We start from the raw sequence: 26627 nt of genomic DNA on the forward strand, positions 1-26627 counted from the left end.
GAGACGTTTTCTGCATTTGTGCAGTGAGGCTTCTTCTAAATTCAATATCCTATGTTTAACTAATGATAAGGTCGAAGAATTGGGCCCTGGGACTGGCCTCTGAAATAAATGGCCCTTTATTCCAGGCCCTTCCCCTGGGGGAGTTTGGGAAGGCAGAAGCACTAGTTTGTCACTCCCAAAACCCCACCAAGTGCCTGGGCACAGGTACAGCATGGAGAACCTATAGCACCCTGACCTATGGAGATGTCTGCACCCCAATAAAACAGATGTTAAAATCTCCATGTGCTTTGTGAGGCAGAGCATGCAAAATGTGAGTTCAAAAGACATGAAATTGCCCCTGCTCTGATGTAAATATAGATGATGATTCTAAGTGGGACACACATGTGTGAGAAGGTAAGAATGAAACCTATTAACCTCCCACTTCCCCCCCAACACACATACATTTCCCATTATTTTCTCCTGTTGGAAGTACTTGGGTGTGAGTGTGGGCACCTGTATACCAGTGGGAACAGAAAGGAGTTTGTTTTCATTACCATCCTTTTTTTGAGATGGAGTCTTGCTCTGTCACCAGGCTGGAGTGCAGTGGCATGATCTCAGCTCACTGCAACCTCCACCTCCAGGGTTCAAGTGATTCTCTTTCCTCAACCTCCTGAGTAGCTGGGACTACAGGTGCGCGCCACCACGCCCAGCTAATTTTTGTGTCTTTAGTAGAGACGGGGTTTCACCATGTTGGCCAGGATGGTCTCGATCTTTTGACCTCATGATCCACCCGCCTCGTCCTCCCAAAGTGCTGGGATTACAGGCATGACCCACCACGCCCGGTCCTCCATTACCATTCTTACCTGCCCACAGCATGGCTTTCACAGAAGCAGGCTAATGCCTTTATGACCCCTGGGAATGCCATGATTCATCCAAGTCAGCTGCCCTCTCTGCCAACTGAATCCTGCAGGTCCCCATGGTCTTCCTGGCACTGACAGTTTGATTTGATCGCTTCAGCCATTGCTGAATTCAACAGCACCTGAGTCAGGACTTTTGCAAACCTTAAACGTAAACATATAGTGACTATAGAGGGAACTTTTTAAAAAGCAAATGTATTCTTCCTCCATTATCTAAAAAAGATTGGCAAAAAGTTAAATCTCCTTTTACTTCAAAAGTAAAGAAAATCATGCAATGAGATGATCCTGTTGGGCCTTCAGCACAGACCCATCCTCTCTTCCCCGGCTCCCAGCAGTCCAGGGCAGGTTTCTGTCCTCAGCAGGCTGAGTTTTGTTCAGTCCATTCGTTCCTTGCTGGATCAGCACACTCTGGATTTCTCAGCCCTTTCAGTCTGAGTGTTCCTCCCTCATGGCCTTCACAAGCCAGTCCTGTTCTGTCCCCTGCTCAGAGTCACTGGTGTCACTCACCTCCATGGACAGCAGCTTCGAGTACTTGATTTTCCGCTCTCGGGGCAGCCTCCGCTGTATGGACAGGAGCAAGGCCAACCAGAGCAACAGGGCCACACAGCAGGCCTGGTAGAGCACAGCCAGGCTGAAGCGCATCACCACGAAGCCCCCGACAAAGCTGCCCAGGCTACAGCCACTCCCGTAAAAGTGGCCTCGGAACAAGGCACTCAGAGCCCTCTCCATGCGGGGAGTGGCCAGGTCCTCTACTGAGGCCCCCACAGCCCACCACAAAGCTCTGTTGCTAATGGCACTCAAGATCTGAATGGGGAGGACGGACCACCAGCTCCAGAGGAAAGAGTAGTACAGCAGCTGCCCAGCGAGGCAGCTCAGCCCCAGCCCCACCAGGCCCGTCCTGGACAGTTTCCTAAGCAATGTAGCTTTGAACGGATGAAGCAGAATTTCCCCCAGCAAGCTGAGGGCGACCGAGAAACCCATGACCAGCTCGCCGCTCCCATGGTCCTTCATGTGCCAGAACAGAAAGTTCTGGACAGTACTGACGATGGCTCCTACCAAAACAGTGGTGGAGGCGAGGAGAATGAGGTGGGGGTCACCCCCCACAATGGACAGTGCTTTGACCCTTTTGTAGCTGGGCTCCCACTGCTGACAGATGGGAATGGGAAAGGCAATGCTCACCAGTAAGGCCAGGGTGCTGACCACCGAGTACCCATAGAAGTGGACCACACCTCGGGGGCCACTGGTCATCAGGAAGCAGTCCAGCTGCCCCACCAAGGCTGTGATGCCACACACGCCTGCCGACATGCCCAGCAACCTCCAGACCCACAGGCTTCTGTATCGGTCAGTGGCATCCACAAAATCCAGGAACTCATAAAGGCTGTCATCTGCCACCTGCTCCAGAGGCGCTGTCAGCAGCTCCCAGAACGCCACGGACCCCAAGGAGAGGATAAAAGTCCGCCGCAACGCCTCCAAGGACAGGTCAAAAGCCCAGGCTTTCCCCTTGGTCCCTGACAAATTGGCTGGATTCCCGGGCCCTTTCCCCCCAGGAAGCAAGGGGAGGGCTGTCTTGACCACCTCAAAAGTAACTTCCCAGGGATGATCTTTCAGCCCCGAAGTGACAGGATGGAGGAGAGCTTGGGATGTGGTCCTAGCTCCTTCAACGGAGGGCGCTAAGTAGACGTGCAGATCACGGAAAGTTTCTCGGTCACTTTCACCAGGTGGGTTTCTGAAGCCAGGCATTTCCACCTCTGCAGTCCTCTTGGCTGGGTGGCTGGAGGCAGACTCTTGGGCCGAGGTGATGTTCACAGGTAGCGTGACCCCCGGGAGTGCGTCTGTGCTGGTCAGGCCGCTGCTTCCATTACAAGGGAAGTGCACCCGATTTTTGTCTACCGGTGGGACCAGGACCATCAGCAGGCTGGCCCCCACCGAGCCGAGCAGGGAGCCGATCAGAAGCGCTCTCCTTTTCCGGTAGCTTTTGGCCAGGAAGGCACAGACGGGAGCCCAGAAGGCAGCGATTAGGTGCTTGGTTCCCATTAGGGTGCCCACCCAGGGCGCGGCCAAGCCCAGCTGCCTCAGGTAAAGGGTCAGGAACGGGGTCACGCAGGCTTCCCGCACCCCGCACACCAGGTGGAAGAGCTTGGCCACCCCCAGCGCCCTGCTGATGTCCCACCGGGGGTTGGCACTCATGGCTGCCGGGCTCTGTCAGGCCTGGGCCGACGGAGGGCGGAGCTGGGCGCAGGGCGGGCGCGGCCCCAGGTACCCGGGAGGGAGGCTTGGGGGACCGGGGCTCGGAGCGAGTGGGACTGCGCCCCCGGTCTGGGGCGGCGCCGCGGTCACCAGGTCAACGGCCGCCCCCGGCCACAGCCCCCAGGTCCTGCCGTTGGACCGAAAGGGGCCCCGCCCGGAGGGAGAGGCGGGGCGGGGGCGAAGGTGGGGGCGGGGCCAGCGCACCTGCGAGCCGCACCTGCCACGTCCCACCGCCTCCGCGGGCCACCTGCCCGGACGTGCGCAGGTGCGCTAGGGGCGCGTCCGGGGGCCTGTAGGGTGCGCTCTGAGCTAGGCCTCGGGCCCCGCCTGGCCTCTGGCTGCCAATGTGGCCCAGGAGCCTGAGCTAAACGCCTGGACTGCTTCAGGCAAGTAAAACCGTCAGAGTCGGCGTGGGGGGGAGCCAGAATGGAATGAATGGTATCCACCAGGCTGTCTCCCTCATCTTCTTCAGGTCTGTACTGGAATGCACCCTGATCAGTGACCAACCACAGACAGAGATCAACACGGTCCACTCTGACATCGCAAATCCCATACCCCTGTACCCACCCCGCCCCCAAGACTCCCACTCCCCTGCCCTACTTGATCGTTCTCTCTAGAACTTATCACTGACCAAGGCACTACGGGCTTATATTTCATGTGTTGACTTTGTTTATTGTCTGTCTCCACCAGAATCCAAGCTCCAGGAAGGCAGGTATTTTTGTCCCCGGGGCCTAGAATTGTTTCATTGGATGCATACTGCCCTCGGAAATGGCATGACCTTGGGTGACATGGTTGTCTCCAGCTGGGACAGTCCCTAAGGAGGGCTGACAGCTGATGGCAGTCGTCCAGGGGAACTCCTTGCAGCCGATCGCCAGCACATGGCAGTCCCCAGAGCCATATGTATGTGCTGCACAGTTTTAACCTACACCTAAGGGTGGTCTGGTGCCCTGTTTGAGAGTACACACACTTGAGGTGGTTAGCTAGCATTTCATCAAAAAGACAGAGACAGCTAGTACAAGCACGTCGACAATCTTAAATCAACAGAAGTGTCTTCACTAATGGACATAATAGATATTAGAAATAGTTTTTCACTGGTGAAATTAGTGGTGTCCAAGCCACCTGGATTGGAGATAATTTTTTTGAAGGCATTTCCTCTCTTGCTGGAACAGGCTATAATAATCTAGAGATGGCCTGGTGCGGTGGCTCATGCCTGTAATCCCAGCACTTTGGGAGGCCGAGGCAGGTGGATCACGAGGTTAGGAGATCGAGACCATGCTGGCTTACACGGTGAAACCCTGTCTCTACTAAAAATACAAAAAAATTAGTTGGTTGTGGTGGTGTGTGCCTGTAGTCCCAGCTCCTTGGGAGGCTGAGGCAGGAGAATGGCATGAACCCGGGAGGTGGAGCTTGCAGTGAGCCGAGATCACGCCACTGCACTCCATCCTGGGCAACAGAGTGGGACTCCGTCTCAAAAAAAAAAAAAAAAAATCTAGAGATGCCAGTAGTCCAAACCCTTTGGAAGGATGCTATAGGCTTTGCTTCAAAATGGTCCAGTGTGCAGCTCCTGATTCAGTAAACTTTTCATACAAGGTTTGCTCAGAGCACCTAATTTGGCTGGGGGTGGAGTGGAACTGCTTGCCAACACATGTCTATGTGTAAGGGAATTCGGCCTATGACTTGCCTGCATTGTCAGCTGGTAGAGAGTATGTTGGGGAGCAGGCCCAGGGGCCTCACTTAACCTAAAAAACTGGTAAACTCTGCAGACATCTACTGAAAACCTAATGATTGGTGATGAAATTGGTATGAATCCGTTTATATCATACCAATGGCAGGAAAAATAAAATCTAGTCTCCTCCAGGTAAACTCACTCAAATTCAGTGCTACTGCAATCATTTCAGGTTTAAAACCACCTCAGTCACACTAATGATTGCCCTACTCCTGCCCCTCCCTGGGTTCTTCTGTGGGCAGCCTCAGTGGAGGATAGCGCATCCATCCACTTCTCAGTCCTGACCTGTCCTGGGTTCATCTCCACTGGGAGGCAGATGTCAGACTCCAATGTGCCTGGACATGTGCAGGTGTGCGAGGGGCATGTCCTGGGGCCTGCAGGGTGCACCTGGAGCTAGACCAAGGGCCCCGCCCAGCCTCTGGCTGCCCATGTTGCCCAGGAACTTGGGCTAAACACCTGGATTGCTTCAGGCAAGTAAAACCATCAGTCAGGGTGGGGGCAGTGAGAATGGAGTGAATGGCATCCTCCAGGCTCCCTCCCTCACTGCACCATGCTGGAGTCTGTGGAGGTGCCTACAATTCTGCACCTGGCCTTCAGGTGCCATGCTCCACACTGCTGCCTGCAGCTGCACCATTTTCCCTTTGAGCTTGCCTGCTTTCAGCCACCCGAGAAAATCTCCGCCTGCTTCCCATGTCCTGTACAAGCACAGGGAATCTCTCTAAGACTGACCTTGGACCCCTCTGGCTCTGCACCCCAGGTGGTCCATCTTACACTCCCCTTGGCATTGAGAAGGTATCCTGCCATTGAGACTTGCTTCCACTCCTGGGGCAATTTGGCCCAAAGCAAGGCGCCCTCTTCTCTATTCTTGGATTCCCAAACTTAAAAGGGAATCTTCTACAGGTGATAGGACTCAAGTCCAAGCATTTTTGTTTTCTCTGTTACTCTCCCCCCACACCATACCTATTTCTGGGGATGAAGAAACTGAAGATGTGTCATTGATCTTTCTATTTTACACTTGGATGTAAGTTTTTGAACATAAAAGCCAAGAATTTTGGTGTCTTTAATCTCTGGCTTGGCCAGTGTGGTGGCTCACGCCTGTAATCCCAGCACTTTGGGTGGCCGAGGTGGGAGGATCCCTTGAACCAAGGAATTCAAGACCAGCCTGGGCAACTTAGGAAGACCTCATCTCTACAAAAAAAAAAAAAAAAAAAAAAAAAAAAGCCCCAAAACGGCCGGGTGCAGTGGCTCATGCCTGTAATCCCAGCTCTTTGGGAGGCTGAGGCGGGCAGATCACCTGAGGTCAGGAGTTTGAGACCAACCTGGCCAACATGGTGAAACCCTGTCTCTACTAAAAGTACAAAAATTAGCAGGGCGTGGTGGTGCATGCTGGTAATCCTAGCTACTTGGGAGGCTGAGGCAGGGAGAATCGCTTAAGCCCGGGAGGTGGAGGTTGCAGTGAGCTGAGATCATGCCATTGCACTCCAGCTTGGGTGACAGAGCAAGACTGTCAAAAAAAAAAAAAAAAGGCCCCAAAACAAAAAATCCCAAATGTAGTAGGGCATGGTGTCATGCACCTGTGGTCCCAGCTACTTGAGAAGCTGAGGTGGGAGGATCGCTTGGGCCTGAGAGATGGAGGCTGCAGTGAGCTGTGATTGTGCCACTGCACTCCAGAGCAGTGACAGAGTAAGCAAGGGGCAGGAGACAGAACACACTAGTTTATACTTCACAGAACTCTTACCTGGCCCAAGTGGACTCAATAGGTTATAAAAAGGACTGCCCTGATGATTCCTATTAACATATAAATATTGCCAGGTATGAGATGAAAGCAGAAAGACTTCAGTGTACATTTATTGAGTCTGACATTTTTCTCTCACCTGATAGAGACACCTGCCTGGGCTGAGTGAGGTGGGCAGTGGCCTGAGAGTGGGAAGGGAAGAGACTTGGGAGGGAGGTGGTGCTGTTGCTGTTCCTTGCTTCCAATTTTCCCCTAGGCCACAGGGCTCTGGCCAAGACAGCAGCTTTAACCCTGGTTTTAAGGGCTGGATGGGGAGCTTGGGTGGGAGAGGACAGTGGGAGAAGTGGGAATTGAAGCTAAATGAAGGAGTAGACATTTGTATGAGAAGCTGGGCTTGGTGTGTATGTTCTCAAGCAGCGACAGCATTGCCTGGGCCATCCGTAGACCTCCATGTGGGCCCTTCCTCATCACAGTCCCCAGGGTAGGCTCCCTGTGCTCCCAGGCACTCGCTGGCTCCTGGTCAAGGCCAAAGCTGCCGTGTGGAGCCGGGCCTTGCTCTGGCTGTTGGTGTGAGTGTTTGGAGTTGGTGGGGTAGTGTATCCTTCCTCCTGGGCCTGCTGTCCCTGCAGGCTCACTGGACAATACCAGAGAATGTGTTGATGGGCATCAGAAGGGGCTTGGGCTTGGCTTTGATTGCTTCCACCTCCTGTTGCCCATGCAAATTGAGCCACGGTGCCTTGGACTTCTGGGCCCCAGAACATGGTTCTGGGCAGGGAGCAACCTCGAATCTGTGGGTGGAGAGAGACCAGCTCAGGTGACCCATCTGAGGGATCAGATTGCCTAGGGCATTTGAAAGGCAGAGCTGTTATTGTAGGGCCTAGAGCTGTTATTGTAGGGCATAGAGGAGGCGGCTACACAGAAGAAAGAGGAAGAGTCAGGACAAGAAAGAAAAACCTGGGCCTGGGGTTCACCGGGAGAGGAGACACTTGGAGCAAGTAACTCTGCGCATGCCTCCCTTACCCAAACACACCTCCCGAGGGGAAGCCAGTAAGGGTCAGCTAACTGGAACACAGATGCCACAGGTCAGCCTGTGTGGGAGGGGCCCGTGCCTGCAGAGGGGACTGGATCAGGAGGCTGCAGGCTGAGTGTATGCAGAGGCATCTGGGGAAAATGCAATATCAGCTGCTGCCCTGGGTATGCCATTCATTTGCCTCGACTTCCTGGATCCAAAGCATAGGGCAGTGGCCTCTGTCCATCCTCACCAAGGTTACCTGCCTGGCCACAGGATCTACCTCCGATGAGGTGCCTTGAGCTAGAGGCAGGAGATGGCAGGAGCTGGCTCCTGCTTCAGTTTGTCCCACGGGCCCTGGACATCTAGGGTTGGCAGGCCCAGCCTCACCTGACCACATCCCTGAAAGTGCGTTGATCGTCCTTGTCCAGCGACAGTGTCAGCAGCCTCTGGTCCCGGCTCTGGATCTGGATATTGTTCGTCCTGAAGGTGTTGGTCACTGTCTGCAGCACAGAGATCGCACGTGTGAGTGTTGCCTTTGCTCGACAGGTGGCCCTGCCAACATGCCCTACCCTGGAATCTGGTGTATTTCTTCAGTCCAGCACATGGGGTCCCCAGCTCTCCTCCTGCAAGTGACTGAGGAGTGACAACCCTGCACAAACTGCTTCTAGGCTGCCCTTGCCCTTGGATCTCACATCGTTCTTCCAGTTCTTTTCCCAGCCTGCCGTCCTTGATTTTGAACACAAACGGGAATGCTGTGGATAGTGCTTGCCAGGTTGTCAAGTTACCTGAACTCGAGTGTTGATTTCTTCAACATTTTCCGAGCACCTCCTCTATGACAGACGTGTTAATGTATATGGAATTTGGGGAGTATTTCAGGGGTTTTAAAAGTCTTGACCCCGGTTCTCAGCATTAAATCACATACAACATTATTTACCTGCTGCAGACACAGAGGGTCTAGAAAGCAGCCAAAGACCCCAAGCTCAGACCAAGCCGAAGGAAAGCACCCCCAGGCATCCTTATAACTCCTGACCTGAGGGAGCAGCTCCAGAGAGGTCGCCTCCCATTGGGCAGAGAACTTGGAGCATTGTGGGTTCCAGGTGGAGCTTTCAGAGGTTGTGGTTCATCCCACACACAGACTTTGGGTAATTTACAACCACAGAACCCTGGAGTTGCCAGAGGCCTCAGAGACCATCTCATTCAAGTGTTCTTAACCCTGGCTGCCCATAAGAATCAATTTTCAAAAACATAATGTTGGAGATTCTGATTCAAGTGGCATAGAATTGAGCCCAGGTACGGGCATTTTTTAAAAAGCTCCTGAGTGTAGGCAGGGCTGAGAACAGCCACTGAGTTGTTCAGTGTCATCTAGCAGAGGCACGAGCAGCAGCCTGAACTAGGAGTTCACACGTGTCCAGGCATTTCAGCTGAACTTTTAGGGGATGGGGGTAGGCCAGCCAGAAGTCTGTGGACAGGCCATGGAGGATCCACTGGGAGGAGGGTAAGAGCATAGTCTCTAAGCCAGGCTGCCCAGGCTCTAATCCCGGTTCTGCCACTTACTAGCTGTGTGACCTTAAGCATGTTTCTTAATCTCTCTGTGCTACCTTTTAGGATTGTTGTGAAGATTACATGAGATAGTATATATTAAGTGCTTGGAACAGAGCCCAAGACACTGTTAAGAACTCTTATTAATTATAATTTTCCAAGAAGGAGCCAAGCATGACTCATGGACTCAGCAATGAAGTCCCAGGTGTCAGAGGGGAAGGGGAACCTACTGTGGGTTCTTTCTCTTCTTGGTTTGTCCCCTAGGCCAAGCCCCCACCTATCACCCCGCTATGCATAGACTCCTGTGCGTCTGAATGGGTGAGCTGTGAGTAAAGACAGATTTAACAAAACCTCTGTAAGACGGGGCAACTCCATGACAGAGGGTAACACTCAGGGGAGAGGGGGCTTCTCCCCTGGTGCCAACAGAACCTGTGGCACCTTGGCCGGGCGCGGTGGCTCATGCCTATAATCGTAGCACTTTGGGAGGCCAAGGTGGGCAGATCCCCTGAGGTCAGGAGTTCGAGATCAGCCTGGCCAACATGGTGAAACCCCATCTCTACCAAAAATACAAAAAAATTAGCCAGGCGTAGTGGCGGGCATCTGTAGTCCCAGCTACCTGAGAGGCTGAGGCAGGAGGATCGCTTGAACCCAGGAGGCAGAGATTGCAGTGAGCTGAGATTGCACCACTGCACTCCAGCCCGGGCAACAGAATGAGACTCTGTCTCAAAAAAAAAAAAGAAAAAGAGCCTGTGGCACCTTTAGTGCTCTGTGCTCTGGAGCTGTCAGGCACAGTGGGAAGGTTGTGGTCAGGGGGGCAGGCAGTGGAACCTAGTAGGCACTGACTGGACAGCTAATGGAATGATTGTTGATACTGGAATGTCACTTGTGACCCTCCAAAAATACCTGGAGAGACTGCAGGGGGCTGAAGTCCTGCATGAGCTGGGGGAGGGTGGGCGAAAGCCAGGTACGTTCTATTTGCCATAATGAATGGAATTGCACCTGAACTGATTGCACCTGGTGAGAGAGATGCATGGTTTCCATAGGTTAGGTGACTGGGGATCGAATGTGACCCACTGAAGCCTGCACAGTGGTAGCCATGGGGCCAGCTCTCTGACTCTCAACTTGGTGTTCCTTCTTTAGCATCAGGCTGCTCTAGGTGTCTCTGGCAGGATTTGGGCCTCCACGCCCTGCCCATGGACCTAGCCCCACCTTCTAGGTAATCACACACAGTCTCTGGGCCTCCTCCCACCTGCCTGCGGTGTGGGCAGATGCCTTTCATTTCCCTTTGTGGTCTGCACACCTAGACACACTCTACCTGCTTGGCTTTGGCCCATAAGGAGCACAAGAGTCTTAGATTTTAGTCTATAAATGAAGCCATGGGAGCCAGTGGAAAGGGCCAGATGCAGAATTTGCAAAGGATCCCACTCTCTGTAAGACTAAGGAATGGGCAAAGTGCTGCTAATTGTCTCCTGTTCTCTGTTGGTGGCCTAACAACATACCCCAAAGCCCCAGTTCTTCTGTTTCTGCTTTATTTCCCACTTCTGTTCTATTTCAAACTTCCAATCCAGCTAAGGTCATATCTGACCCTTAAACTTACTGAGCTAGCCACAGGCCCTTGCCCCCATGCCATTCTTCAAGCTGTCTCTGCCTTCTTACTCCAGCTCACCATGAGCTTCCCCTCAGTGGTTATCATCCAGTCCATGTGGACAAAACATGTATGTGGACCTGCCTGGTTCTGAGAGGAAAGCACAGCTACTGGAATTTTCCCCTAGCAAGTCCCTGTAGGGATAAAAGGGAACTTGCTGAAGTGATAAGTTTAGACTTTCAAAAAGCCCCTGACCAGGTTGTTTAAAGAGGTCATTAAAAACAGAAACCACTTTAAGGAACTTTGAAAGAGGAAATGCAACAGAAGGGTAAATAGGTCCACTTTGGAGCCTAAAACTTCAATATGGGGTTGCCCTATACGAAGACAGATTTCAGCTCAAGGCAGACCTCTCAGCCAATCAGAACTCTCCTACAGTGGATAGGCTGCCTCAGAAAGCGTCAGCTTCCAGTTCCGGCTTGAGATCTAGGATGAGGTGGAAGGTGGATTAGATGACTCAACAAACATCCGGTGAGGCCCTGCTGCAGGCCAGACACCACACCAGCTAAGATGAGGATCCTGAGTCTAGGGAGTTTGCAGGCCATTGACATACAAAGATCATGCCATTTATAGTGTCACAAATGTTTCCATAGCTGTGTCCCCAGGGTCCTATGGGAGCACAGAGGTGGTACACTTAGCTCACCTAGGTGAGGGGAGGAGGGTGGAGGATGTGGAAGGAAGGGGGAAAAGCATTAGGAAAGGCCTCCTGAGGGAGATGACACCTGAGTCTCAACTTGTAGGATGAGTAGAAATTATAAAAAGAAGGTGGGCAGGTGGAAGGGAGGAATGAGGTTTCAGGTCAGGCAACTAGCGTGAGCAAAGGCACAGGGATGTGACTTCAGGAACACTTCCCAACACATGGTGGGAAGAGCCTCCAGGGAGTGCCCAAAGCTGCAGATGGAGAAGAAGGGGAGTGAAGCTATGCAACACTGAAGAGTTTTTCTGCCCCTGGAGAATGGGAGAAGATGGAGGAGTTTTAAGTACGGAATAACATGGGCAGGAAGGTGGACTTAAGGAGGATCAGAGTATTGCCGGGGAGACCAGCTGGAAGGAGATAGATGAAGGTCAGACTTGGGGTGACCAACTTGCTTGATTTGCCTGGGACTTTCCTGGTGTTAGCACTTAAAGTCCCAAGTCCAAGAAACCCCTTTAGTCCCAGGCAAACAGGGACAGTTGGCCAACCAAGCTGGACCAGAATAGAGAGGACAAAGAAGGGAGAGATTTGAGAAGTGTTCCATCGGGACAAAGGAAAGTGAGGAAGAGGAGGCACCAGGGATGACTCCTGGGTTTCCGGCAGAGGTGATTGGTTAATGATGGTACCATTAAACGAGACAGGAGATATAAGAAGGAGATGAAATAAAAATGACTGCTAACACATACATAATGTTTACTTTAGCCAAGCACTCTTCTAAGAGCTTCGCATGCCACAATCAATCCTCATAACTGGATGAGGTAGGTAATGTTATTATAGCTGTCCCTCCATATCTGCATATGTGGAACCTGCACATACAAAAGGCCAACAGTAAGAGACTTTAGCATCCATGGATTTTTGTATCCTTGGGGGTCCCGGAAATAATCCCCATGGATACTGAGGAATGACTGCCTCCCCTTTTTATAAAATGATACTGAGTCACAGAGATATTAACTTGCTTAACATCATATAACTGGTAAATGGCAGAGGCAAGATCTGAATCCAGACAATCTGGCTCTAGAGAGCTCTTAACTATTAGAAAGTACTGGCTTTGATTTTTAATATCTTGAGTTTGTGGTATTGTGGGACATCCAGATCATGCTAACTTAGTTCAATGCAGGAGTCAAAAACTCAGGTATGAATGTCAGGGCAGAAGACACAGATTTGGGAGGACTTAACAAATGGAACTAAATCCTTGTGAGTTTGATAGTCCAGGAAATGAAAAAAGAAGTGAGCCATGGATAGAAATTGAGGACAGTAGCTACTTAAGGATCTAGGAAAAGGAGTTCAGGGAATGAGGCCAACAAGTAATAGTCAGGCATGTAGAAGAAAGTCTATAAGAAAGTGTTGTCTCTGAATTTATAGATTTTAGGGTATTTAAAGACTCAGAGTACAGGGCTTCAGCTCTAGTGATGGAATTCCATTCAAAATTGACCAAAGGAATATAAAACTGGGGAAAACATTTATGACAGTGCTAGAAGCCAGCTTCATTGGAGTATTAACATATAAACATAACTTCAAATATACATATTTTGTCTAATTGCCTAAAAGGAGAATCCCATCAGACTAACAGCAGGCTTCTCACCCAAAACCTTGCAAGCCAGAAGAGACTGGGGTTCTATTTTCAGTCTTCTTAAAGAAAAAAAGATGCCAAGAATTTTGTATCCTGCTAAACTAAATTAATAAATGAAAGAGAAATAAAGTATTTACCAGACAAGCAAACACTAAGGAAATTTGTCACTACTAGACAGGTCCTACAAGAAATGCTCAAAGGATTTCTAAACATGGAAAGAAAAGGGTGATACTCATTGTCATAAAAACACAAGAAAGTATAAAACATGTAGGTCTTATAAAACAATTACACAAGACTGCAAAGCAACTAGGTAATAATTATGACAGGAACAAAACCTCACATATCAATACTAACCTTAAATGTAAGGGACTAAATGCTCCACTTAAAAGATATAGGCTCAGCTGGGCACAGTGGCTCATGCCTGTAATCCCAGCACTTTGGGATGCTTGAGTTCCAGGCATTAAAGTAGGAGGATCACTTGAGTCCAGGAATTTGAGACTAGCCTGGGCAACGTAGTGAAACCTCTTCTCTACAAAAAATTAAAAAATTAGCTGGGCATAGTGGCTTGCACCTGTGGTCTCAGCTACTCAGGAGGTTGAAGTAGGGGGATCAATAAGATATGGGCTGGTGGAATGGATAAGAAAAACAGGATCCAACTGTATGCTGCATACAAGAAATCTGCCTAACTGTTAAAGACATTTACACTCTAAGGGGTGGAAAAAGATATTTCACACAAATCAAACCAAAAACAAGTAGGAGTAGCTATACTTATATCAGATAAAACAGAGTTTAAATCAACAGTAAAAAAAGACAAGGTCATCTATAATGATAAAGGGATCAATTCAACAAGAAGACATAACAATTCTAAATAAATATGCACCCAACACTGGAGCACCCAGATTCCTAAATACTACTAGATCAAAGAGATAGCCACTGTATTAATCCATTTTCACACTGCTGATAAAGACATACCTGAGACTGGGAAATTTACAAAAGAAAGAGGTTTAATGGACTTACAGTTCCACATGGCTGGGGAGGCCTCACAATCATGGAAGAAGGCAAAGGAGGAGCAAAGTCACGTCTAACATGGATGGCAGCAGGCAAAAAGAGAGCTTGTGCAGGGAAACTCCTTCTTATATCACCATCAGATGTCATGAGACTTACCCACTATCACGAGAACAGCATGGGAAAGACCTGTCCCCATGATTCAATTACCTCCCACCAGGCCCCTCCCACAACATGTGGGAATGCAAGATCAGATTTGGGTAGGGACACAGCCAAACCACATCATTCCACTGCTGGCGCCTCCCAAATCTCATGTCCTCACATTTCAAAACCAATCATGCCTTCCCAACAGTCCCCTGTCTTAACTCATTTCAGCATTTACTGAAAAGTCCACAGTCCAAAGTCCAAAGTCTTATTTGAGACAAGGCAAGTCCCTTCTGCTTATGAGCCTGTAAAATCAAAAGCAAGTTAGTTACTTCCTAGATACAACAGGGGTACAGGCATTGAGTGAAAACAGCCATTCCAAATGGAAGAAGTTGGCCAAAACAAAGGGGCTACAGGCCCCATGCAAGTCTGAAGTCCAGAAGGGGAGTCAAATCTTAAACCTCCAAAATGATCTCCTTTGACTCCATGTCTCACATCCAGGTCACACTGTTGTGAGAGGTGGGTTCCCATGGTCTTGGACAGCTCTGCCCCTATGGCTTTGCAGGGTTCTGCCTCCCTCCCAGCTGCTTTTATGGGCTGGCGTTGAGTGTCTGCAGCTTTTCTAGGCACACGTGCAAGCTGTCAGTGGATCTATCATTCTGGGTCTGGAGGATGGTGGCCCTCTTCTCACAGCTCCTAGCCCCAGCAGGGACTCTGCATGGGGGCTCTGACCCCACATTTCCCTTCTGCACTGCCCTAGCAGAGGTTTTCTATGAGGGCCTTGCCCCTGCAGCAAACTTCTGCCTGGGCATTCAGGCATTTCCATATATCCTCTGAAATCTAGATGGAGGTTCTCAAACCCTAATTCTTGACTTCTGTGCACTTGCAGGCTCAACACCACATGAAAGCTGCCAAGCCTTAGGGCTCGCACCCTCTAAAGCCATGGCCCGAGCTCTACATTGGTCCCTTTCAGCCATGGCTGGAGCAGCTGGGATGCAGGACACCAAGTCTCTAGGCTGCACACAGCACGGGTACCCTGGGCCCAGCCCATGAAACCATTTTTTCCTCCTAGGTCTCAGGGTCTGTGATGGGAGAGGCTGCTGTGAAGACCTCTGACATGCCCTGGAGACATTTTCCCCATTGTCTTGGGGATTAACATTTGGCTCCTCATTGCTTATGCAAATTTCTACAGCCAGCCTGAATTTCTCCTCAAAAAATGGGATTTTCTTTTCTATTGCATTGTCAGGTTGCAAATTTTCCAAACTCTTATGCTCTGCTTCCCTTATAAAACTGAATGCCTTTAACAGCACCCAAGTCACCTCTTGAATGCATTGCTGCTTAGAAGTTTCTTCTGCCAGATACCCTAAATCATATCTCTCAAGTTCAAAGTTCCACAAAAATGCCACCAGTTTTGCTAAAATATAAGAGTCACCTTTGCTCCAGTTCCCAACAAGTTCCTCATTTCCATCTGAGACCACCTTAGCCTGGACTTTATTGTCCATATCGCTATCAACATTTTGGGCAAAACCATTCAAAAAGTCTCTAGGAAGTTCCAAGCTTTCCCATTTTCCTGTCTTCTTCTGAGCCCTCCAAACTGTTCCAACCTCTGCCTGTTACCCAGTTCCAAAGTTGCTTCCACATTTTCAGGTATCTTTTCAGCAGCACCCCATTCTACTGGTACCAATTTACTCAATCCATTTCACACTGCTGATAAAGACATACCTGAGACTGGGAAATTTACAAAAGAAAGATGTTTAATGGACTTACAGTTCCACATGGCTGGGGAGGCCTCACAATCATGGCAGAAGGCAAGGAGGAGCAAGTCACATCTTAGATGGATGGCAGCAGGCAAAAAGAGAGCTTGTGCAGGGAAACTCCTTCTTATACCACCATCAGATCTTGTGAGACTTATTCACTATCACAAGAACAGCACAGGAAAGACCTACCCCCATGATTCAATTACCTCCAACTGGGTCCCTCCCACAACATGTGGGAATTCAAGATGAGATTTGGGTGTGGACACAGCCAAACCACATCAGACACCAATAGAATAATAGAGGGAGACTTTAGTACTCCATTGATGCACTAGACAAATTATCAAGGCAGAAAATCAACAAAGAAACTCTGGACTTAAATTGGCCTCTAGACCAAATGGACCTAACAGACATTTACAGAACAATCTACTCTACAACTGCAAAATGTAATTCTTCTCATTTGCACATGGAACATTCTCAAAAATTGGCCATATGCTAGACCACAAGGTGAGTCTCAATAAATTTTTTAAAAACCTGAAGTCATATCAAGTAACTTCTCAGACCACAGTGGAATAAAACTAGAAATCAACACCAAGAGGAACCCTCAAAACTATTTAAATACATGAGAATTAAATAATTTGCTCCTGAATGATTGTTGCATCAATGATAAAATTAAGGCAGAAATAAAAAAATTTTTGAAATGAATGAAAATAGAGACACAACATACCAAAACCTCTGGAGTACATCAAAAGCAGTGCTAAGAGGGAAGTTTATAGTGTTAAATGCCTATATAAAAAAGATGGATCTCAAATCAATAACCTAATGTTGCATGTCAAGGAACTAGAAAAATAAGAACAAACCACACCCTAAGCTAGCAGAAGAAAATAACAAAGATCAGAGCAGAACTAAATGGAATTGGGACAAAAAAATACGAAGGATCAACGAAATGAAAAATTGGTTCTTTGAAATGATAAACAAAATTGATAGACCACTAGCTAAGTTAACCAAGAAAAAAAGAGAGAAGAATCAAATAAGCACAATCAGAAATGAGAAAGGTATCATTACAATTGATACAACAGAAATGCAAAAGATCATCAGAGACCTATAAGCATCTCTATGCACACAAACAGGAAAATCTAGAGGAAATGGATAAATTCCATTTATCTAGGAACATACAACTTCCAAAGATTGAACCAAGAGGAAATAGAATCTTGAACACACCAATAATGAGTAATGAAATTGAATTAGTAATAAAAAAAACTCTCAATTAAAAAAAACCTCAGGAGCAGATGGGTTCACAGTGGAATTCTACAAGACATACAAGGAAGAACTGATACTAATCTTACTGACACCGTTCAAAAAACATTGAGAAGAAGGGAATCCTCCCTAATTCATTCTATGAAGCCAGGGTCAGTCACTCTGATACCAAAGCTAGGCAAGAACACAACAACAACAAAAAAAACTATAGACCAATATGCCTGATGAACATAGATGCAAAAATCCTCAACAAAGTACTAGCAAACCAAATTCAACAGTGAATCAAAAAGATAATGCACTGCAATCAAGTGAGTTTTATTCCAACAATGCAAGGTTGGTTCAACATACACAAATCAATAAATGTGACTCACCACATAAACATAATTAAAAACAAAAATTATGCAATTGTATTAATAAATTCAGAAAAAGCATTTCATAAAATCCAGCATCTCTTCATGATAAAAGCCCTTACCAAAGTAGCAATAGAAGGAACATATCTCAAAATAATAAAAGCCATATATGACAAACCCACAGTCAACATCACACTGAGTGGGGAAAAATTGAAAGCATTACCTCTAAGAACTGGAATAAGGCAAGGATGCCCACCGTCACTACTCCTATTCAACATAACAGAAGTCCTAGTTAGAGCAGTCAGAAAAGAGAAAGAAATAAAAGGCATCCAAATTGGAAAAGAGAAAGTGAAATTATCCCAGCTCCAGAGTGACAGGCATAATAAGCAGGCTTACCCACCCCTCATCCCTGGCCCCCTTTACTCGCTGAGGCAGGAGCCCAGAGGACTCATTTCTGGAAAAACAAAACTATCCTAGCAAAGAGACTTGCAGATACTGACATCTGGGATCCCCCCACAGAAAGAACCATGGGCTTCTGACTGCCCACTGAGAAGCCCACCATTGACCCAGGTTTTTAGTGCTCCACTCTTTAGTTCAGAGAGAGATCTTTTTTTTTTTTTTTTTTTTTTGAGACAGAGTCTTACCCTGTTGCCCAGGCTGGTGTGCAATGGCGTGATCTCGGCTCACTGCAACCTCCGCCTCCCAGATTCAAATGATTCTCCTGCCTCAGCCTCCCAAGTAGCTGGGATTACAGGCATGCACCACCATGCCCAGATAATTTTTGTATTTTTAGTAGAGGTGGGGTTTCACCATGTTGGCCAGGCTGGTCTCGATCTCCTGACCTCGTGATCCGCCCTCCTCTGCCTCCCAAAGTGCTTGGATTATAGGCATGAGCCACCGTGCCCAGTCAAGAGACCATATTAGGAGAGACAACAAATAACCATAAAACAAGAAAGAGTCCTTAAATAGCCTAAATTTTCAAAAAATGAATTTGAAGAAAACTCCCCCAAAATTGAAGAAATGACAAAGAAGGACAATGGGAGAAAAAAGATGAGAAAATTAGAGCATTAATTTAGGAGGTCAAACATCCTACTATTCATAGTTCCAGAAAGAGAAAGCAAAGAAATGAAGGGAAGGAAATTATTTTAAAGATTGTATTAGAAAATATCTGAGAATTGAAAGATGTGAGTCTCCAGATTGAGAATTGTCCATCAAAGGTCCAAAATGATGAATGAAAAAAGATCCCACCAAGGTATATTCTTGTGACATTCAGAATCTTCTCTGAAATTTAGTATTTATGGCTTCCAAAGAGAGAGAGAAAAGAAAAAAAAGTCTCATACAAAGACTAGGCATAAGAAGGCACCATATTATACAACAGCAGCATCAAAAACTAAAAGAAAGTTCACATTCAAAGAAATCCAGACAGAATCGACAAAATCAAAACCATAGCAGGAACATCCACAAACCTCTCTCAGTTTTGGCCAGATGAAGTAGACAAAAAATATTTTAAATTTGTAGACTACAGTAATATAATATGTTTGATTTAATAATTAAACTTCATACTTTATATATTCTATAGATAGAAAACAAACATGTATTTTTAGTTGCCATTGAATATTAAAAAGTTGATCATTCACTCCTGTAATCCCAGCACTTTGGGAGGCCAAGGCAGGCGGACCACGAGGCCAAGAGATAGAGACAATCCTGGCCAACGTGGTGAAACCCCATCTCTACTAAAAATACAAAAATTAGCACGGTGTGGTGGCACACGCCTGTAGTCCCAGCTACTTGGGAGGCTGAGGCAGGAGAATCGCTTGAACCTGAGAGGCAGAGGTTGCAGTGAGCCGAGATCTCACCACTGCACTCCAACCTGGCAACAGAGTGAGACTCAGTCTCAGAAAAAAAAAAAAAAGGTTGATCACGTACCAGGCAACAAAGAAAATGTCAATACATTCCAAAGAAGTTGAAATTGTGTAAGTCAGATGCTTTGGCCGTCCTAGGAGCATTTGCTAATAAACTCAGGAATCAAAGGGTTTGGGTTTAAATAGCCACGTGGGGATGGGAGGCAATGGTGTGGGGTTATGTGAAGCAGGGACTCTTGAAGGCTACAAGCTCAGTGAAAGACTAGAAAGCAAAATAAAACAAAAGACACAAACAGACAAACAAACAAACACAGAAATAGGGAAGACCACAGAAAAAAGCCCGTCTGCTTTGGCTTGTGCGATGAGTGAGGAAGGCAAGTCTTTCCTGGAAATTTTTATCTACAAGCCCATCCAGATGTGAATTTGGGGTACACATGTACACTATCTTCGTGGTCTGGCAATTTCTCAGCCAAAACTGGACTCAAAATATGGTCCTGAGTTGATAACATCTCTGAGGCTGTTGGCAAAAACAAATTCAGAATTTCTCTAGAAGGAAAATTTTTCCACCCAGTTTCCTCACAGATAAAGCCCCAAGAAATATGAACTCATAATTGAAAAACAAGCTACTGTGGGGAGGGGGTCAGTGAACCCAATAAACAGAAGGATTAGACTCCCAGTAATTACAGATAATGTAATTACATAAATCAGATTATAAAATAAATATGTTTAGAATGAGTGAAGAAATAAAAGAAAGAATAAAACCACAAGGAAGGAACAGCATACTACTATTAAACAGGCATGCCATTTTCATTGATTCTAAAACACATTTTAACATCTCTAATTAGGGAGTATTTTGCAACCAATGTGATAAGAGAGCATTGTCCATAGTTTAGGAAGCATTGTTTCTTTCTTAGTAGTATGTAAAATTGTGGTATGCCTTAAATTCAAGGAAATATGGTCTTTAGACATATATAATGTTTAATCATATCAGAGTCAGAAATCATTAAAGGAAAATGATTAGTAGATTTTGCAACATCACAATATAAGGCTATTTTAGGTTAAAAAAGCATCAAAAGACAAAGCGGGAAAAGTATTTCCAAAATTTATGACAAATAAGGGGTTAATGTCCTCACACTACAAAATAGGATATTAGTATGGGATGAGAATACAAATAGGAAATGTAAGAATGAAGAAATAGAAATACAAGAAAGTATTCAATTTCACTAATTGGTAATAAAAGAAACAAAACAATGAAAAGTTTGATCATCAAATTTGTGAAGATGAAAAAATCAATCACTATCTGAATTGTGCTGAAAAATTGGCACTCAAACACTACAATCAGATTGGAACTTGGTATAGACTTTCTAGAGGGCAATTTGGCAAAATATATAAAAAGGATGCCACCTGACTGAATGATTTCACTTCTAGGCATTCTTCTAAAAAGACATAACCATGATTTTTAGCACATACTTACCCCTAAGGAAATTGCTCACACTACGCTTGTAATAGTGAAAAATGAGAACTTACTTAAATGTCGTCTTAGAATTTATTTACATAATTATACAGGTATATGCAACCATCATATAATAAATACTGACATATGCTTAATGACACAAAACATATTTAATACCAAAGCAATGTCCCATCAAGACCTATTTACAAGGCTTTAGTATATTTTTGAGTTAAAATCACCAAGGTATAGACCAGTATGTAGTGTAGCTATCAATTATCTTAAAATATCTAGAAAAAAAGGATTGGTGATTACACCTGAAAATGTTAATAGTCATTCTCTCCAGGGATTGGGACTACTAGTGAAAGTACTTTTTGTGCTTTTTTTATATTTTCCAAAATAAATAATGAAACTTTTGTTTATAGGTTAAAACATTATCTTGGCCAGGCATGGTGGCTCACGCTTGTAATCCCAACACTTTGGGAAGCCAAGGCAGGTGGATCATGAGGTCAGGAGTTCGAGACCATCCTGGCCAACATGGTGAAACCCCGTATCTACTAAAAATACAAAAATTAGCTGGGCATGGAGGCATGTGCCTGTAATCCCAGCTACTCAGGAGGCTGAAGCAGGAGAATCACTTGAACCAGGGAGTCGGAGGTTGCAGTGAGCCGAGATTGCGCCACTGCACTCCAGCCTGGTGACAGAGTGAGACTCCGTCTCGAAAAAAAACAAAACAAAACAAAAAAAACAAAAACATTATTTTAAAAGATAAAGAAATATAAGGGCTAAATAGTGACCACTGGTTTTGGCAACATGGAGGTGACTTTGCCACAGCAGGACATGTGTAACCAGGTGGTCGTGGGTAGAAGAGTTATTGATAAGGGGCTGGAAACTCTTCTAGAAGTACTTTTCAAGGAGCTTGACTTGAGAAGGGAAGGAAAGAGATGCAGTGGGTAGCTAGAGAGGTAGTTGGGTCATGGCAGAGTTGTTTTTTTTTTTTTCCTTTTTTTTTTCTTTTAAGATGGAAAAGACCTGAGCATGTGTAGGCTAAGCGGAAGGAGCAGTGGAGAGGAAGAGGTCAAAGCTGGGGAAAGAGAACTGCAAACAGATAGAGAAGAGCCTGGAGGGGGAGGGGGAGGAAAGGGCTGAGTGATCCCAAGGATCCGCGTGAGCGGGAGGTCATGAGTTTGCTGTGGATCTAATCAATGTGGATGCAGGGTTATTCCAGAAGCACTTGGCCACCTGGGCATACAGACTAAGCAGGTGGCTTGACCTAAATCGGTGCGTAAGCCTGCTGGGTGGTGCATGGGAGTGAGGACATCAGTGAGAACATGGTTCAGGCGCAATCATGGGGCACCAAAGCCAAGCTAAGTGGGGAAGTGAAGTCCAGAGAGGCCACTGGGTAGAGAGGAAATGGATAGTCTTATGTCTGTATCAGTAAGTACTGGCCAGGCGTGGTGGCTCACACCTGTAATCCCAGCATTTTGGGAGGCTGCGGCAGGTGCATCACCTGAGGTCAGGAATTCGAGACCAGCCTGGTCAGCATGACGAAACCCTGTCTCTACTAAAAATACAAAAATTAGCTGGGCGAGGTGGTGCACGCCTGTAGTCCCAGCTACTGGAGAGGCTGAGGCAGGAGAATTGCTTGAACCTGAGAGGCGGGGGTTGCAGTGAACTAAGATTGCACCACTGCACTCCAGCCTGGGTGACAGAGTAAGACTCCGTCTTGAGGAAAAAAAAAATTGTTGATATGAGCAAAGGCTAAAGGGCAAAGGGTAAGGGGATTGAGAGAGCTGGTCTGATTTGGCCACAGATTGGGCTGTTGTTGTTTAGGAGTCTGGCTGTGGTGTGGTGGCTGGGATGACTGGACATAGGTGCATTTTGCAGTCATCTGGGTATGTCTTGGGTCCTCAAATGGTCAGCAGATGGAGGGCAGGGCTTTGACTCTTAAAGTGCTTTCCTTATACCAGTGGGCACTCTGCACTTCAAACAGACTGATTGAAAAGCGGATTCCTTCCAACAGGAAGACCCACTCCAATAGCAAAGGCTCAGAAAGGCTGGGAAGTCAGTTCCCTTCTCTGAATGCCCTCCCCTCTGGGCTCCCAGCCACCTACTGCTGTCCCAGCTGGCTGTCTCCCTTTCCCAGTCTACTCAGTACTTACAGAGAAGGACTTTCCCGCCAAGTTGGAGGACTTGACAACCTCTGTCACGTTGACATTCAGACATGTGTGGTCTGTGACAGGAGCAGCAGGCAGGGGGCAATGGCTAGACCCTGAAACTGAATGAGATGGGTGGGGCTGTAAATGGACCTCCAGGGAAGTAGGGGAGTTTGATATTCTAGGTCTCAAGATCTCCAGGAACCCATCTTGACACCCCCAGCCCTGTCACTCCTCCTTGGGCCCCCACTTTCTGAATCTGCTTGGTCCCAGCCAAGTTACGTTTCCTTCTCAATCATCCATCTTCCTTCCCTGGTGAATCCACAAGTTTCTGTATCCTCAGGTCAGCGGCCATCACCAACCCAAATCCGCACGCCCTACCCTTTCATTATCTCCTCCTGCAACCCTTTTTAAAAGGAATAAAATTCTAGAAGTTCTCTTGAACTTCCTGCAGCTCTTGGGCATGCTAAGAATGAAAGAAGCACCTGCCCAGGGATGTTGTGCAGGACAGAGGCTCCAAGTGGGTGAGGAGGGCATCAGTGCCAACAGGTCAAGGTTTCTTTTACTTTCTTTTTTTATTATTATTTTTTTGTGCATATATATATATATATATACACACACACACACACACATATATATACATATATACACACACATATATAAGTATATATACATACACACGTATATATGTATATATACGCACACATATATATGTGTATATATAGACACACACGTATATACATATATACGTATATACACACACATATATATGTATATATAGACACACATATATATGTATATATACACACACACGTATATATGTGTATACATACATATATATATTTTATATATATATATATATTTTTATATATATATATATTTTTTTTTTGAGACAGAGTCTCACTCTGTTGCCCAGGCTGTAGTGCAGTGGCATGATCTCGGTCACTGCAACCTCTGCCTCCCAGGTTCAAACAATTCTCCTGCCTCAGCCTCCCAAGTAGCTGGGATTACAGGCGGGCTCCACCACACTGGCTAATTTTTTTTTTTTTGTATTTTTAGTAGAGACAGGGTTGCTTAATAGAGTATAATGTGTCAAAAATCATCACTGTGTGCCTGCTGGTAGGCTTCGTCCCTCCCTGCCAACTAAAGAGGGTTTGTAGAAGTCTGCTCTACCGAGGGTGCTGGCATCATCAGACTGGTTCTGATAGGGTCTAGAGTAGGGCTGGGAGTGGGGAGAGTCTGTGAGAGAAATGGAAGGAATATAGTTTGAACAATAAGAGCTAACATTTATCGTTTACTCTATGCACACAAATTAGTAGCTACTTATTATCTCCATTTTAGAAAAAAAAAACAGGTAGAGAGGACACAGTTCACACATCTAAGGTCACATAGATAGTCAGCGGCAAAGCTGGGGTGTGAGACCTGCCCATCTGGCCCTGGCACCGCGCCCTTGATGGTCTGCTCCTGAGCCACTTCTAGGTTAAGAGCTACTGCCACAATTATGCGTCTCCTTCATGGTGTTAAAGAGCTGCAGGTAAAGAGTGTCCTGCTGTGATGGAGTTTTATATGTCATCCACAAATTCAACTTGCCTGGAAGCAATTTTATTAGGAAGTGATATAATTTCTTGAGTTTCTTCTTTGTGCCAGATGCTAAGGAAATTGTGAAGCTATGATGCCCACTTATGAACACAAATGCATTATTGTCAGAAAGGCGCCTTAATTGGAATGCTAGCAAAGCCACAGTGGATTTCAGAGATGGAGTAAATACTCGTGGTTGGATAGGAGAGGAGGGATCAGAGTTGGCTTCCTCATGAGCATTCCAGCCTGGCTTATGTGTATTTTCATTCCGTATTTCTTCTGGAATATTCCAAATGTGTTCATCCATTTTTAAAACAAATTTTTGAATGTAAAGTAGCATTTCATTTATTCTAGAAATATTGATCAAGTATCTACCACATGCCAGGACATGTCATGGACAAAGGGAATAGATGGTGAACAAGATATAATTCTGCCTGGGTGAACTTACTTGTTTGCTCCAAAATGATCTTCTACAAGCATCACCGGATAACATCCCCTAAGTCTAGTCTGTTGAGATTTGGCAATCCCGGGGGAGGCAGTGGTAAGGAACATAGGCTCTTGCATGAGAATACCTGGGTTTGAATTCCAGTTCTGATTCTTCCTCACAGAGGTGATGTTGGGTGTGTTATTCTCTTTCCTTCCATTTCCTCTCCAGTAAAAAGTTACTAATACTAATAGTATCTATTTTCTAGGGTTCACAAGCTTCACTGCCTGGCCTCTGGTGTTTGTTTGCAATATTCATAATCCGTATCGCCATCCTTTGCATTATTCCAGGAGACCAGGGAGCTCACAATATGAGCTAATATTTATAATTTACTATATGCACATAAATTGGCATTTTCTATTGTCTCCATTTTTTTTGGAATGACAGTCAAAGTCCTAAATTTCCAAACAGAAGACAACTAGTCCTGCAGTCCCAATTCCGTGGCAGGAGGCCAACTGCAACCCCTCCCCGGAGTCCCTCCACCTTCCAGCTATGTCTCAGCAGGCTGCTGAGGCTCAATCCAGTGGCCAGTGCTAGAGTCTGGGTGACCCGACAGCAAGCAACTTGAAGGCAGTCACCAAGTCCTGGTCCTGGCTCCAGTTCCGTGACTGAGAGGGCTCCCCCTTCTCCTGCCACTCTGCCCTCTCCCCAGCATTGCCCTTCTCATCTCTTCTCTCTTTCTTTGCTCTGCATTCCCCATTCCTCACCTTCTGTGTCGCTGGCTGGAATGGCCTTCAGGATCAGCCCAGTGGCCCGCAGGGAAACGGTGACCTCTCGGGGCCGGTGGCTAAGCAAGGCCTGAGGAGGGGGATCGAGGAACAGGTGGAGGTGCTCAGGACATACCCTTTCCCCATGCATCCCCACATCCACAGTCTTGCCTCTCTCCCCTGTTTTCCACCCCTGCTGTGAGAGTCTTTTTTTTTTTTTTTTTTTGAGCCAGGGGGTTTCACTATGTTGCCCAGGCTGGTCTTGAACTCCTGGGCTCAAGTGATCCTCCTGCCTCAGCCTCCCAAAGTGCTGGGATTACAGGCATGAGCCACGGTGCCAGACCCGGTTTTGTCTATGTCACTAAGGTCCCATAAGTGCTAGCAGATAAAGGCTTAAAGCACTTCTAGTCCTAGAGAGTATGTTCAGCCTTCCAGACCCCAAAGAATAAATCTCCAGTGAAATCAGTTCAAGCCTCTGGTCAGCTAGCAAGGAAGATATTTTTTAGCAAGGGGTCAGCCCCCTTGTTCCTTAAATCTGATCACCTCCTGGTCTACATGTAAGGCCAACTTAACCCACCCATCCCTGCAAAACTCCCTGAAGGCTGGGGAACTCTGCGGGCAGCTTCAAGAAAAGGGGCAGAAGCTTCCTTTGGCTCTATCTGCTTCCCTGCTTGTCCCAGAGGCCTGCTCCCTCCAGCTGTACCTCTTGGCTACCTACTGACCACGTCCATGCACACTGACCTTCTGGTAGCATAGGGAGAGCTCTGCCCCTGGGCCCTCAGCCACGCCTCTCCTCCTGGGTGAAAAGCCATCTGTGGG

The 26627-nt window shown here is 46.8% G+C and overlaps 2 protein-coding genes across 22 annotated transcripts in view, besides 6 other annotated features; both read right to left on the minus strand.

Moving 5' to 3' along the window:
• Positions 1 to 1072: 1072 nt before the first annotated feature.
• On the minus strand, positions 1073 to 3328 carry MFSD6L (major facilitator superfamily domain containing 6 like). Its single transcript, NM_152599.4, has one exon. It carries the CDS (start codon positions 3081 to 3083, stop codon positions 1323 to 1325), a length of 1761 nt encoding a protein of 586 aa, NP_689812.3. The 5' UTR covers positions 3084 to 3328; the 3' UTR covers positions 1073 to 1322.
• Positions 3402 to 3461: a silencer, noted in NCBI's record as "silent region_8187". NCBI's record gives its function as "represses an Ori minimal core promoter by ATAC-STARR-seq in GM12878 lymphoblastoid cells {active_cell/tissue: GM12878}" and the evidence as "EXISTENCE:reporter gene assay evidence [ECO:0000049][PMID:35858748]".
• Positions 6685 to 26627, minus strand: part of PIK3R6 (phosphoinositide-3-kinase regulatory subunit 6) — a 64956-nt gene continuing 45013 nt past the window's right edge. For 10 of the 21 annotated variants that reach the window (XM_047435450.1, XM_047435444.1, XM_011523678.3 and 7 more), the window contains 4 exons: positions 26550 to 26620; positions 25809 to 25899; positions 8004 to 8116; positions 6685 to 7392 (listed from right to left, as the gene is read on the minus strand). In XM_047435450.1, the coding sequence (XP_047291406.1) occupies positions 7072 to 7392; positions 8004 to 8116; positions 25809 to 25899; positions 26550 to 26620 (596 nt within the window). In that variant the 3' untranslated portion in view covers positions 6685 to 7071. The other 11 variants (XM_047435452.1, XM_047435448.1, XM_047435447.1 and 8 more) reach the window with 5 other exon arrangements.
• Positions 10814 to 10953: an enhancer, noted in NCBI's record as "active region_11702". NCBI's record gives its function as "activates an Ori minimal core promoter by ATAC-STARR-seq in GM12878 lymphoblastoid cells {active_cell/tissue: GM12878}" and the evidence as "EXISTENCE:reporter gene assay evidence [ECO:0000049][PMID:35858748]".
• Positions 10964 to 11063: an enhancer, noted in NCBI's record as "active region_11703". NCBI's record gives its function as "activates an Ori minimal core promoter by ATAC-STARR-seq in GM12878 lymphoblastoid cells {active_cell/tissue: GM12878}" and the evidence as "EXISTENCE:reporter gene assay evidence [ECO:0000049][PMID:35858748]".
• Positions 11074 to 11353: an enhancer, noted in NCBI's record as "active region_11704". NCBI's record gives its function as "activates an Ori minimal core promoter by ATAC-STARR-seq in GM12878 lymphoblastoid cells {active_cell/tissue: GM12878}" and the evidence as "EXISTENCE:reporter gene assay evidence [ECO:0000049][PMID:35858748]".
• Positions 11074 to 11400: a biological region, named in NCBI's record as "MPRA-validated peak2720 silencer".
• Positions 11200 to 11400: a silencer, noted in NCBI's record as "peak2720 fragment used in MPRA reporter construct". NCBI's record gives its function as "represses an SCP1 promoter by STARR-seq MPRAs in K562 erythroleukemia cells {active_cell/tissue: K562}" and the evidence as "EXISTENCE:reporter gene assay evidence [ECO:0000049][PMID:32103011]".

Source organism: Homo sapiens, chromosome 17 (genome assembly GCF_000001405.40).
Source record: "Homo sapiens chromosome 17, GRCh38.p14 Primary Assembly".
NCBI classification, from domain to species: Eukaryota; Metazoa; Chordata; class Mammalia; order Primates; family Hominidae; genus Homo; species Homo sapiens.

Bases quoted from the DNA above. Each gene is read 5' to 3' on its own strand.
- MFSD6L (NM_152599.4), bottom strand. From the start codon at position 3,083: ATGAGTGCCAACCCCCGGTGGGACATCAGCAGGGCGCTGGGGGTGGCC.